This window comes from Homo sapiens, chromosome 19, assembly GCF_000001405.40.
Source record: "Homo sapiens chromosome 19, GRCh38.p14 Primary Assembly".
In the NCBI taxonomy this organism is placed as follows: domain Eukaryota; kingdom Metazoa; phylum Chordata; class Mammalia; order Primates; family Hominidae; genus Homo; species Homo sapiens.
The window spans coordinates 36,722,007-36,736,615 of NC_000019.10; the positions used below are offsets into that span (position 1 = coordinate 36,722,007).

The following is a 14,609-nucleotide window of genomic DNA, read 5'->3' on the forward strand; positions in this document are numbered from 1 at the left end:
TGCTGGGATTACAGGGTGACCCACCACGCCTGGCTACAACATAAGCCTTTTCTACCATAATCTATAAGAAATGTAAGTCTCTGAAAATCCCAAATAAGTGACTAGAGAGATTTTGATGTTTGAGAATTGGAAATCTGCGAAGACAGTGACTTCCACGGTATCCTTTTGGCGAGGAGAGTAAGCTCAGTGGCAACTTGAACAGCATTATTGCAGGTCCTTCTTGGGAAGGATTACTTATAACCAGTATTTACTATGTATATGAAGTCATTGTAATAAAATTCAGTAGAAATTGAAATTTATTAATTAATTTATTTTTTGAAATGGAGTCTCTATCGTCCAGGCTGGAGTGCAATGACATGGTCTCAACTCACTGTAACCTCTGCCTCCTGGGTTCAAACGATTCTCCTACCTCAGCCTCCCAAGTAGCTGGTACTACAGGCACGTGCCACCACACGCAGCTAATTTTTGTATTTTTAGTAGAGACAGGGTTTCACTGTGTTGGCCAGGCTGGTCTTGAACTCCTGACCTCGTGATCCATCCGCCTCAGCCTCCCAAAGTGCTGGGATTACAGGCGTGAGCCACCGTGCCCAGCCTGAAAATTGTTTTTTAAAAGATTTAGAACTGTAAACCATATCTGCATAAACAGAAAGATGGTTCAGGGTTCAAATATTTGACATTAAATATATTAAACAGACCCTCTGGCCTGTTAGAGAGGGACAGCCATTGCCAATCAGTAGTAAATGGAACCATTCTTGTCAATCCTTATTTTTCTGATAATTTCATAGCAAAAAATGAACAGGGCAATGAGACAAAAGCATAAAAATTTAGACTTGATAGTAGCACACAGAAAACACACGTGTGTGTATGTGTGTATATATGTAAAATGCCTTGTCTATAATGACTAGACATGTCATTAAATTTAGCCTTAATAATTTATATATGCATAAAGATTTTTTAAAGTATACATTTTTAAAGAATATAAAGAATTATTAATAGGTTTAATAAACCTATTAAAGTAACTAAAACAGGTAATTATAGGACTTATAATCAGAACTGTGAGAACCCAAGGATTTTGTCATTGTGAATTTATAGGGGAGTTATATACTAGTATATGCTAACAGTGGTGACTAACAGAAGAATTGTACTCATGACCAAAGATGGAAGCCTACCTTGTTTTTCTAGGTGGAGAGGATGGCCTAACTGGATGTTTATCCTAGCGTCAACCCACCAAAGATTTGGGGAACATGTGAGTCACATTCTCTGGGACATTCTACTCCCCTTTGATTTTGCATTTCCAGACATTTCAGTGGCTACCACAAAAAATAAAAAGTATCTGTGGCATCACTGCATGTGCTGCCCTGTCTCCTGATTTACTGATTATCATGAAATAGCCATGTACTGTTTCAGTAGAACATTGTATCCAATGTCCACTTTATTTTCAAACATACTACATATATTCATGTTTTATAGCTCTTGAATATGAAGAACTAGAAAGTATGAGATATTAACGGGCAGTTTTATAAATGGCCAAACTTTGAAACTTTTGAGGCTGGGCGTGGTGTCTCACACCTGTAATCCCAGCACTTTGGGAGGCCAAGGTGGGCAGATCACCTAAGGCCAGGAGTTTGAGACCAGCCTGGCCAAGAGTGAAACCCCCTCTCTACTAAAAATACAAAAATTAGCCAGGTGTGGTGGCGCATTCCTGTAATCCCAGCTACTCGGGGGCCTAAGGCAGGAGAATCACTTGAACCCAGTAGGTGGAGGTTGCAGTGAGCCAAGATGATGCCATTGCACGCCTGCCTGGCCAAGAGAGTGAGACTGTGTCTCAAAAAGAAAATATAATCATGAATATAATCATTATTATTTGTATAATAATTATTGGGCATCTTTCCATAATCATGCTCATAACTTTCAGTTTTAACATGTTCTTTGTATGAAAAACTGATGAGTTTCTTATGAAACTGTCTATGGCTGTATCATATGGCAATTCTGTATTTCTTTTTTTTTTTTTTTTTTTTTGAGACAGTTTCACTCTTATTGCCCAGGCTGGAGTGCAATGGTGCGATCTCGGCTCACCACAACCTCTGCCTCCTGGGTTCAAGCGATTCTCCCAGCTCAGTCTCCCGAGTAGCTGGGATTACAGGCATGTTCCCCCATGCCTGGCTAATTTTGTATTTTTAGTAGAGATAGGGTTTCTCCATGTTGGTCAGGCTGGTCTCGAACATCCGACTTCAGGTGATCCGCCCACCTCGGCCTCCCAAAGTGCTGGGATTACAGGCGTGAGCCACCGCACCCTGCTTTATTTAATTTTTTTAACAATCATCATTCTGTTTTCCACAGTGGCTTCACTATTTTACATTACCAATGGCAATGCAAAAAGGTTCAGATTTCTCAGGCCAGGTGTGGTGGCTCATGCCTGTAATCCCAGCACTTTCAGAGGCTGAGGCAGTCTGATCAATTGAGGTCAGAAGTTCAAGACCAGTCTGGCCAACATGGCGAAACCCCATCTCTACTAAAAATACAATAATTAGCAGGCATGGTGGCGTGTGCCTGTAATCCCAGCTACTCTGGAGGCTGAAGCAGGAGAATTGTTTGAACCAGGCAGGTGGACATTGTAGTGAGCCGAGATCACGCCACTGCACTCCAGCCTGCGCGAAAAAGCGAGACTTCATCTCAAAAAAAAAAAAAAAAATTAGCTGAGCTTGGTGGTGGGGTTCTATAATCCCAGCTACTTGGGAGGCTGAGGCAGGGGAATAGCTTAAACCTGGGAGGCAGAGGTTGCAGTGAGCTGTGATTGTGCCACTGCACTCCAGCCTGAGTGACAGAGTAAGACTCCGTCTCAAAAAATTAAAAAAAAAAAAAAGTTCACATTCCTCCATATTCTTTCCATCACTTATTTTCCTTCAAAAAATTTTTTGAATTAAAACCTTTTTTGTGGGTGTCAAGTATCTCATTGAGATTTTGATTTGTGTTTCTGTAATGATTAATGTAGGTTTCTTTCATTCTTGAACATAGTTTGCTGAAAATAGGATTTGGGATTGAGAGTTGTTCCTTTCAGCACTTGAAAAATGTCACTTCTTTCTGGTCTTCATGGTTTCTCATAAGAAATCTGCTATTTTAATTTTTTTCCTCTAAAAATATGGTATTTCTGTCTTACTACTTTCAAGATTTTTATTTTTTGTCTTTAATTTTATTTAATTTTATTTTATTTTTGAGATGGAGTTTCACTCTTGTTGCCCAGGCTGGAGTACAGTGGTGTGATCTCGGCTCACTGCAACCTCCACCTCCCAGTTTCAAGCGACTCTCCTGTCTCAGTCTCTCAAGTAGCTGGGATTACAGGTGCATGCCACCACACCCGGCTAATTTTGGTATTTTTAGTAGAAGCGGGGTTTCACCCTATTGGCCAGGCTGGTCTCAAACTCCTGACCTCAGGTGATCCACCTGCCTCGGCCTCCCAAAGTGCTGGGATCACAGGTGTAAGCCACTGCACCCGGCCTTGTCTTTAATTTTCGCAAGTTGGGTACAATGTGTTACGGTGTTACGTTTTGGGGATGGGAAGAAAGTTATCTTGTTTAAATTCACTCAGCTTCTTGAATCTGTCTTTTGCCAAATTTGGTGAGTTCTTAGCAATTACTACTTTAAGTCCTTTGTAGTAGGGGAGAGGGGATGTCTTGCTCTCTCACCCAGTCTGGAGTGCAGTGGCATGATCACAGCTCACTGCAGCCTCGACCTCCTGGATTTAAGCGATCCTCCCACCTCAGCTTCCTGAGTAGCTGGGACTACAGGAATGCACCAAGAGGCCTGGCTAACTTCTATATTTTTTACAGAGATGGTATCACCGTGTTGTCCAGGCTTCCTTAAGTACTTTTTCAGCCCTGTCTTCTTTTTCCTCTCCTTCCAGGATTTCAAGGGCATGAATGTTAATCTTGTGTTACATTCTCACAGTTCTTCATTCTTTTCATGTTATTTTTTTCAGTGTACTATCTCTCTCTTGTTCAGATTGGGTAGTTCCTATTGTTCTGTACTGCAGTTCACTGATTGCTCTGTCTCCTCTGTTTCCACTCTTTGTCCCTCCATTTGAGTTTATTTTAGTTATATTTTCAATTCTATACTATTTGGTTATTTTGTATGTCTTCTAATTTCTTGTCTGGACTAATTCTTTGTTGAGATATTGTATCTCATTTGTTTCAAGTGTGTGATTGTTCAGGCATTTTTATGATGTCTGCTTCATGTATTTATCATATAATTCTGACATCATTGTCATTTTCATGCTCGTCTTTTTTCATTTGAGATTTTCCTGGTTACAATTATTGAATTTCCATTGAAATGTGCAATTTTATCTATTATGAGATTGTAGATCTTATTTAAACCTGTTTTAGCTGGCTTTTTGATACCACCCTGGCATGGGGAGGGCAACTGTGCCATTTTGCTGTGCCACATAGGGGGTGAGAATCCAGATTTCCCACTCACCTTCTACTGACACCTGGGTGGAAGTGCTCCTCCTCACGGTTAGGTGTGACTGAGGAGTTCTGGCTCCCTATTAGTCACCTTTTTATACCTCTCTTATACCCCAGTAAGAGAGACAGCGGTGCCTTGTTAATGATTTCCATTTGCCTTCCATATACACCACAGAGGCAGGGCTGGCCCTGTTAGGCGGGATAGTAGTGAAGATCCTGACTTTACTATGCCTACTCCGACACTGGCCCAGCAGGTAGTTTAACAAGTATCTTTTTACTGCTGCATATGGGAATGGAAATCCAGATTCCCCAAATGACTCCAGGGGCCCTACGTAATTCCATCTGCAGTTATAGTCCTGGCTCCCTTCACAGTCTTCCTGAAACCATCCTGGCAGGGAGGTCAGAGTATCTTGTTACAGTCTACTGAGAGTAGAAGTCTAGGTTCCCTACTCAGCCTTTGCAAGGTGCATGAGTGGAGTGGCATCAGGTGTTTTGAGTTTCTTTCTTTCTTTCTTTCTTTTTCTTTCTTTCTTTCTTTCTTTCTTTCCTTTTTTTTTTTCCTGTGCTTTTTCGTTAGAGTAGATCAATTTTATTTATTTATTTATTTATTTATTTATTTATTTTTTGAGATGGAGTCTCACTTCTTCACCCAGGCTGGAGTACAATGGTGCGATCTCGGCTGACTGCAACCTCTGCCTCCCGGGTTCAAGCAATTCTCCTGCCTCAGCCTCCCAAGTAGCTGGGATTACAGGTACGTGCCACCACACCCGGCTAATTTTGTATTTTTAGTAGAGAAGGGGTTTCCTATGTTGGCCAGGCTGGTCTCACAAACTCCTGATCTCAAGTGATTGGCCTGCCTCAGCCTCCCAAAGTGCTGGGATTACAGGCATGAGCCACTGCGGTTGGCCAAGTAGAGCAATTTTTTTTTTTTTTTGAGACGGAGTCTCGGTCTATCACCCAGGCTGGAATGCAGTGGCGTGATCTCAACTCACTGCAAGCTCCACCTCCTGGGTTCATGCCATTCTCCTGCCTCAGCCTCCCGAGTAGCTGGGACTACAGGCACCCATTACCATGCCCGGCTAAATTTTTGTATTTTTAGTAGAGATGGGGTTTCACTGTGTTAGCCAGGATGGTCTCGATCTCCTGACCTCATGATCCGCCTGCCTCGGCCTCCCAAAGTACTGGGATTACAGGTGTGAACCACCGCGCCCGGCCTTGCAATTCTTATCTAGACGTTTTGTCTTGCTCGGGTGCCCTTTTCTTGGTCTGTTTCTACACAGAGCATCCTTTTATTAGGACTTTTTTTTCTTTTTGAGATGGAGTCTTGCACTATCACCAGGCTGGAGTGCAGTGGCACAATCTCGGCTCACCACAACCTCCACCTCCCAGGTTCAAGCAATTCTTCTGCCTCAGCCTCCCAAGTATGGGATTACAGGCATGCACCACCACACCCGGCTAATTTTGTATTTTTAGTAGAGACGGGGTTTCTCTATGTTGGTCAGGCTGGTCTTGAACTCCCGACTTCGTGACCTGCCCGCCTCGGCCTCCCAAAGTACTGGGTTTACAGGCATGAGCCACCGCTCCTGGCCTGTTTTGTTTGTTTGTTTGTTTGTTTTTTGTTTTTTTCTTTGGGCCAATAATAGATAAACCAATGCCATGTGCCTCCTAATGACATGCACTGAGAAGGATACATCATTGCTGTAATGGTATTTCTGTTTAAAATGTATAACCTGTATCTAAAATGAGGAAACATCAGATAAATCCAAATTGAGGTTATTGAGAACAATGATTCTAATTAAATAGTATGAAATAGAGAAAACGTAAGTAAATACTCTATATTCCTGAATTTTAATTGGTGGGAGTATCACTTTGACCAGTCCAGCAGCAATACACATCACTAGCACATACATTATGGTATTTATGGACCATTTCCTGCTAAAAGAAACCAGGATTTCTTGGGAGAAGTGGCTGATTCCAAGTATGGGCAGAAAATTTTTAATGAGCCTGCAGTATTTTCTCATACCAGATAATAACAAAGCTAATTTAAAAAATCAGTAGATTAATGACAAAGCACTGCCAACTTGGAAAGGTTTCCAATGACCAAGGATAGGACAAATCAAGCTTAAATATAAAAATAATTTATATTTGAAACACACCAAATACATTTATAGTTGAATAAATATAAATCTACATTTATAGTTGAATAAATATAAATCTACATTTATAGTTGAATAAATATAAATCTACATTTATAGTTGAATAAATATAAATCTACATTTATAGTTGAATAAATATAAATCTACATTTATAGTTGAATAAATATAAATCTACATTTATAGTTGAATAAATATAAATCTACATTTATAGTTGAATAAATATAAATCTACATTTATAGTTGAATAAATATAAATCTACATTTATAGTTGAATAAATATAAATCTACATTTATAGTTGAATAAATATAAATCTACATTTATAGTTGAATAAATATAAATCTATATTTATAGTTGAATAAATATAAATTTACATTTATAGTTGAATAAATATAAATTTACATTTATATTTATAAAAATTTATATTTGAAACACCAAATACATTTAAATTCCCAAATTTATAGCAATACCAAAGAATCAGTGATCACAGAACAATAAGGAGCAAAGTTATTATCTTAAAAACTGGTATCTAAAAGGAAAAAATATATCTTGGTTATCCTATGTGAACAATACCAGTGGGGGGTATCCAAGTAGCATCAGTGGGCAGCTTCTCTTTGTGAAGTATTCCAGCTAATGTATTTCAAAATTTTTTCTTCTGGAAATAATGTATTTGTGTCATACTTGGTCTCCAAACCTGAAAAAAGCAAGAAAACAGATGTTTTCCTGTACCAGGAAAAAAACCCAAAACCTTGGAGATAAGTGATGAATTGAAAATAAGGTACACTAGAAATATATTTCAATAATGTTTTTACACAACTTGAAGGAGGCAAAGAGAGTTTAGAGAATAATGAAAGAGGATGTGGTGAGGGTGGTGATAAAGCAAATAGGTTGTCATCAGCTCTAAGATTTAAGTGTTCGAAGACTACTGGTTCCAAATGATGGAGCAGAAGAAAACTGGCTTCACTGCCCACCAACAGAAAACCAAAAACAAGTGTGCATCACCAAGATTATCACCAACAATATTCTAGAACTCAAATATGAAGATGAGTCAGTTCTGGAGCTACAAAGAAGTGAAAAATCTCTGAGCAGTGGTAGGAGAATCAGACTTCCACATCCATGACACCTCTTCCCCCATTCTGCCTGGCACCAAACATAGAAAATTTCCCCTCAACTCATGGTTTCTGTAGTGGAAAAAGTGAGATTGAGGTGCACCACCAGCTTCCCCACCATCTTGGGTGTCCTGGCCTTGCCTTAACCCATGGGAAACTCTGGTTTGTAACTTGGCCAGAGGAGATGCAAAATCAGTGTGGTTAGGCCAGGCGTGGTGGCTCACGCCTGTACTCCCAGCACTTTGGGAGGCCAAGGTGGGCGGATCAGGAGATCGAGACCATCCTGGCTAACACGGTGAAACCCCGTCTCTACTAAAAATACAAAAAATTAGCCAGGCGTGGTGGCGGGCACCTGTAGTCCTAGCTACTCGGGAGGCTGAGGCAGGAAAATGGCGTGAACCCGGGAGGCGGAGCTTTCAGTGAGCCGAGATCATGCCACTGCACTCCAGCCTGGGAGACAAAGCAAGACTCTGTCTCAAAAAAAAAAAAAAAAAAAAAAAAAAAAGATATATAAGAGCTTTATCCTCTAAGCCCAACATGTAGATCTTGTTTAAACTCAGTGTGGCTGTTCAGCAGCAGCATGCTGTAGGAGGTTCATTCCACAGATCTCTTGGGCACAAACCCCTAGCCAGCCCTCCCACACGGCCAGAATACCCTCTTTGGGACCTACCCCATTAAGGAAGTGAATTGCTCCAACCGTTACTAAAGCTAAGGCGAACCAGGTTTTAAGGCACCACCTAGAGCTGAAAAGGAGGCAGCAACCTCATGATAAAAAAACCTCTAAGCCAATATGTCCAGTAAAAATTGTAGGCTGGGCGCGATGGCTGACGCCTGTAATCCCAGAACTTTGGAAGGCCAAGGCGGGCAGATCACGAGGTCAGGAGATCAAGACCATCCTGGCTAACCCGGTGAAACCCCGTCTCTACTAAAAAAAATGCAAAAAAATTAGCTGGGTGTGGTGGCGGGCGCCTGTAGTCCCAGCTACTTGGAGGCTGAGGCAGGAGAATGGCGTGAATCGGGAGGCGGAGCTTGCAGTGAGCCGAGATCGCGCCACTGCTCTCCAGCGTGGGTGACAGAGCGAGACTCCGTATCAAAAAAAAAAAAAAAATTGTAACAAGCCAGTCAGAGAACATTGGAATAAATAAATAATACTTCAATGCAAAGACATCAATGTACATCCATAAGCAACATGCCTAAAGAGGGAACCATGATCTCACCAAATGAACAAAGCAAGAAACCAGTAACTAACTCATCCTAACAAGATGGCAATATGTGAGCTGTCTGATAAAAATTGAAAATAGCAGTTCTAAAGAAACTTAGTGATTTCCGAGATAAGACTGAAAAGCAATTCAGAAATGTATCAAAGAAATTTAACAAAGAAATTGAAAAAAATAAAAAAACGGAAATCAAATCTTGCAACTAAAAAATGAAATTTCTAAACAGAATTCATTATAGGCTCTCAATGGCAGAATGGGTCCAATAGAAGAAAGAATCCATGAGCTCCAAAATAAGTTATTTGAAAACACAAAGTCAGAGGGGAAAAAAAAGAACACAGAATGAAAAGGAACAAAGATCATCTACAAGATGTAGAACATTACCTCAATAGACCAAATTTAAGAATCATTGATGTTGAGGAAAGAGTTGAATAAGAGACAGGGGTACAAAGATTATTTTTAAAAATATTAATAACTTTCCAGTCTTCTTTGGAAAGAAAACTTTCCAAAACTTGAGAAAGATATACATTTCCAGGTACAGGAAGGTCAGAGAACAACAAACAGAGTTGACCCAAATATGATTACCCCAAGTCATATAATAAACTCTCAAAGGTCAAGGAAAAAGAGAGGATCCTGAAAGCAGTAAGAGAAAATAAACAAATGGCATTTAAAGGAGCTCTAATTCATCTGGCAACAGACTTATCAATGGAAACCATACAGGACAGGAGGGAGTCAAATGACATTTTAGAAGTGCCATAAGAATAAACATTGCCATCCAAGAATACCCTATCCAGCAAAGTTAGCTTTCAAATATGAAAGAGAAAGTTTTTCCCAGACAAACAAATGCTAAGAGAATTCACCACCACCATACCCCTGTTACAAGAAACGCTAAAGGGAATTTTTGTTTTTTCTTTTTTGTCCTTTTCTTTTTTATTTTTTGAGACAGGGTCTCACTTTGTCACCCAGGCTGGAGTGTAGTGGTGCGATCTTGGCTCACTGCAGCCTCAACTTCCCAGGTTCAAGCAATCCTCCCACCTCAGCCTCTCAAGCAGCTGGGACTACAGGTGTGTGCCACCATGTCCAGCTAATTTTGGTATTTTTTTTATAGAGATGGGGTTTTGCCATGTTGCACAGGTTGGTCTCAAACTCCTGAGCTCAAGTATCTGCCCTCCTTGGCCTCCCAAAGTGCTAGGTTTACAGGCATGAGCCACTGCACACAGCCTAGGAGTTTTTCAATCTGAAAGAAAGAACATTAATGTGCAAAAAGTTTTTTCAAAGAAGGTACAAAACCCACCAGTAAAATTAAGTAAACAGACAAACCCAGGATACTCTACTACTATAAATGTGTGTAATTCACTTATAACTCTAGCATGAAGCCCAAAAGACATATCTATCAAAAACAATAATGGCCACAGCAACCTCTTAAGAGAGAGGTAATATAAACATATGTAAATTTGGAGAACTAAAAGTAAAAATATGGGGGGAAAGGGTTAAAGTGTGGAAAATTTTTTCCATTTTTCTTTATTTCTATTCTTTTATTTGTGATCTAAGATAGGTTGGCACCTCTTTAAAGTAATTTACTGTATCTATACTATGTTTTTTGTAAGCCTCATAGTAACCACAAAGCAAAAACCTATGAAAGAGTCACTAAAAATAAAAAGCAATGAATTAAAACACCTTACCAGAGAAAAATCGCTTAATTACAAAGGGACACAGGAAAGAAGAAAGGAGGAGAGGAGTAAAACAGGCAACAAAATGGCACTTTTAAGTACTTATTTATCAAAAATAATACTAAATGTAAATGAACTCAATTCCCCAGTTAAAGGCATACAGTGGCTGAATGAATAAAGATAAAACACAACTATATGCTGCTGCCAAGAAACCCACTTCACCTATAAAAATATGCACAGATTGAAAGTGAAGACATGGAAAAAGATACCCCATGCAACTGGAAACTAGAAAAGAGCAGAAGTAGCTATAGTTTTATGAAGTAAAATAGACTATAAATCAAAGACAAAAAAGAGACAAAGATGGTCACTATATAATGATTAAGGGGTCAATTCAGAAACAGAATATAACAATTACAAATATATTTGCACACAACACTGGAGCTCCCATGTATATAAAGGAAACAATATAGCTAAAGGGAGAGATGGACTACAATATAATAATATTAGGAGATTTAACACACCATTTTCAGTAATGGACATATCATCCAGAGAGAAAATCAACAAATATTAGAGGTAAACTACACACTAGACCTAATAGGCCTGATATTTACAGAGCATTTCACCCAACTGCTGGAGAATACACATTCTTTTCATTAGTACATGGCATATTCTCCAGAATAGACCATATCTTCGACCACAAAACAAGTCTAAACAAATGTTTAAAAGTAGAAATCATATCCAGTATCTTTTCTGACCACAATGGAATAAAACTAGAAATAAATAACAAGAGGAACTTCAAACACTTCATAAACACATAGAAATTAAACAACATATTAATGAATGACCAATGGATCAGTGAAGAAATTAAGAAGGAAATTTAAGGCCAGACACAGTGGCTCATGCCTGTAATCTCACTACTTTGGGATGCTAGGCAGGAGGAAGGCTTGAGTCCAGGAGTTTGAGACCAGCCTGTGCAACATAGACCTTGTCCCTACTAAAAATTAAAAAATTGACTGAGCATGTGGCATATGCTTATAGTCCCAGCTACTTGGGAGCCTGAGGCAGGAGGACGCTTAAGCTGAGGAGGTTGAGGTTGCAGTGAGCTATGATCATACCACTGCACTGGGCAACAGAGCAAGAACATATCCCAACAAAAAAAGGAAATTTTAAAATATCTTGAAACATATGAAAATGGAAATATACCAAAATATATGGGACACAGCAAAAGCAGTATTAAGAAGGAAGTTTATAGAAATACATGTCTATATCAGAAAACTAGAAACACTTCAAATAAACAATCTAATGATACACCTCAAGGAACTAGAAAAGCAAGAACAAACCAAACCCAAAACAGTAGAAGGAAAGAAATAATAAAGATTTGAGCAGAAATAAATGAAATTGAGGCTAAAACAACAACAACAACAAAAACAGGCTAGGCACGGTGGTTCACACCTAGAATCTCAGCACTTTGAGTGGCTGCAGCAGGTGGATCACTTGATGCTAGGAGTTCAAGACCAGCCTGGGCAACAAAGTGAGACCCCCATCTCTACAAAATAAAATAAAAAATTTTACTCAGGCACAGTGGCAAGTGCCTATACTCCCAGCTACTTAGGAGGCTAAAGGCAGGAGGACAGCTTGACCCCATGAGTTCAGAGGGTGCAACAAGCTTTGATTGTGTGACTGCACTCTAGACTGGGCAACAGAGTGAGACCCTATCTCTAAAAAAACAGAAAAGGCCAGGAGCAGTAGCTCACGCCTGTAATCCCAACACTTTGGGAGGCTGAGGCGGGCAGATAACCTGAGGTCGGGAGTTCAAGACCAGCCTGACCAACATGGAGAAACCCTGTCTCTACTAAAAATATGAAAATTAGCTGGGTGTTGTGGCACATGCCTGTAATCCCAGCTACTTGGGAGGCTGAGGCAGGAGAATTGCTCGAATGCCAGAGGCAGAGGTTGGGGTGAGCTGATATCGCGCCATTGTACTCCAGCCTGGGGAACAAGAGCAAAACTCCATCTAAAAAAAGAAAGAAAAAAGAAAATGCAGTAGATCAGTGAAATAAAAAGTTGATTCTTTGAAAAGATAAAGTCAACAAACCTTTAGGTAGACTAAGAAGAAAAAAAAGATCCAAGTAAATAAAATCAGAAATGAAGAAGGTTGTTGGGCATGGTGGCTTATATCTGTAATCCCAGCACTTTGGGAGGCCAAGGCAAGAGGAGCACCTGAGCCTAGGCAATGCAGTAAGACCCCATCTCTACAAAATTAGTCCCATCTCTAAAAAATTAGCCAGGCATGGTGGTGCACGCCTATAGTTCCAGCTACTTGGGAGGCTGAGTCGAGAGGATCCTTCCAGCCCAGGAGTTCAAGACTGCAGTGAGCTATGATTGTGCCACCGCACTCCAGCCTGGGCCACAGAGGGAGAGATCCAGTTTGTTTTTCTTAATAAAAGGACACATAATAACAGACCACAAAGAATCATCAGAGACAATCATGAACAACTATATGGCAACAAGTTGGAAAACCCAGAAGAAATGGATAAACTCTTGGAGACATACCACAGATTGAAGCCATAATAAAATGTCTACCATTGAAGAAAAGCCCAGGACCTTATGGCTTCACTGCTGAATCAAACATTTAAAGAAGAACTAGTACCAATTCTACTGAAACTCTTCACAAAAATTGAAGAGGAGGGCCAGCATAACTCTGATACCAAAATCAGACATGAGTACAACAAAGAAAGAAAACGACATCTTCACTGATGAAGAAAGATGCAAAAATCCTTAAGAAAATAATAGCAAACTGAATTCAGCAACACATTTAAAAGATCATTTACTGGCCGGGCGTGGTGGCTCACGCCTGTAATCCCAGCACTTTGGGTGGCCGAGGCGGGTGGATCACTTGAGGTCAGGAGTTCAAAACCAGTCTGGTCAACATGGTGAAACCTTGTCTCTACTAAAAAACAAAAAAATTAGCTGGGCACGGTGGCATGTACCTGTAATCCTAGCTGCTGGGGAGGCTGAGGCAGGAGAATCACTTGAACCTGGAAGGCAGAGGTTGCAGTGAGCTGAGATCGTGCCACTGCACTCCAGCCTGGGGAACAGAGCAAGACTCTGTCTCAAAAAAAAAAAAAAAAAAAAAAAAATCATTCACCTTGATCAAATGAAATTCATCCCAGGGATGCAAGGATGGCTCAACATACACAAATCAATAAATGTGGTACATCACATTCACAGAATCAAAAAGAAAAACCACATGATTATTTGAATAGATGCTGAAAAAGCATTTGATAAAATTCAACATCCGTTTATGATAAAAACCCTCATCAAAGTGGGTATAGAAGGAACATACCTCTAGATAATAAAGGCCATATATGACAGACTTACAGCTAACATTGTACTGAGTGGGGAAAAATTAAAGGTATAGTAGGGAGACCCCATGAAACTATTGCTATGGAATAAAAGATGAAATGCTCCTGATTATTGTAAATACAAAGTTGCATGCAGGATTGTGTAAAAACAATGCCAAGTTGGACTGCCAGAATGAGCCAACAGCACGTGATGTGCTTTCCTCTGCAGAGAGCCTATAAACGGACGTGCAGTCAGGGAGGTTTCACATCACCAAGATTCCTATCCCAGAAAAGCAGATGTTCATAGCTCTGGGAATGGAATGCGACCCTTGTGGAGAGCCTATAAATGGACGCATGGGGGCGCCTGTTCATATGGATAAGATAGGGCTATAAACGCCCTCATCTTGCCACAGCTCTTCTAGGTCTCTTTAGGGTTAAGGCATACTCCCTTCTGAGAATTTCTGGTCTAACCGGTTGTCTGGCTTCACGTCCTGTTTCTATGGATTGTTTGTAACCAGCTTTTGCTGCAACTGTTACTGCTGATTAATATCTTGCTAATCATAGGTTATGGAGACTGCGTTTCTGTTTTAAGGCTCTGTTAGAAATTACTGATGCACACTATTGTAAATTCTTATCTCTGTATACTGTACTTCTGCATACAG

The 14,609-nt window shown here is 40.1% G+C and overlaps 1 protein-coding gene across 7 annotated transcripts in view; it reads left to right on the forward strand.

The window, feature by feature from the left end:
* Positions 1 to 5,500, forward strand: part of ZNF567 (zinc finger protein 567) — a 60,573-nt gene extending 55,073 nt beyond the window's left edge. For 4 of the 7 annotated variants that reach the window (XM_047438334.1, XM_047438333.1, XM_047438332.1 and 1 more), the window contains one exon: positions 1,183 to 1,349. In XM_047438334.1, the coding sequence (XP_047294290.1) occupies positions 1,183 to 1,217 (35 nt within the window). In that variant the 3' untranslated portion in view covers positions 1,218 to 1,349. Of the gene's footprint in view, positions 1 to 1,182; positions 1,350 to 5,110 lie in introns of those variants that run through there. The other 3 variants (XM_047438330.1, XM_047438329.1, XM_047438331.1) reach the window with 1 other exon arrangement.
* Positions 5,501 to 14,609: the final 9,109 nt, after the last annotated feature.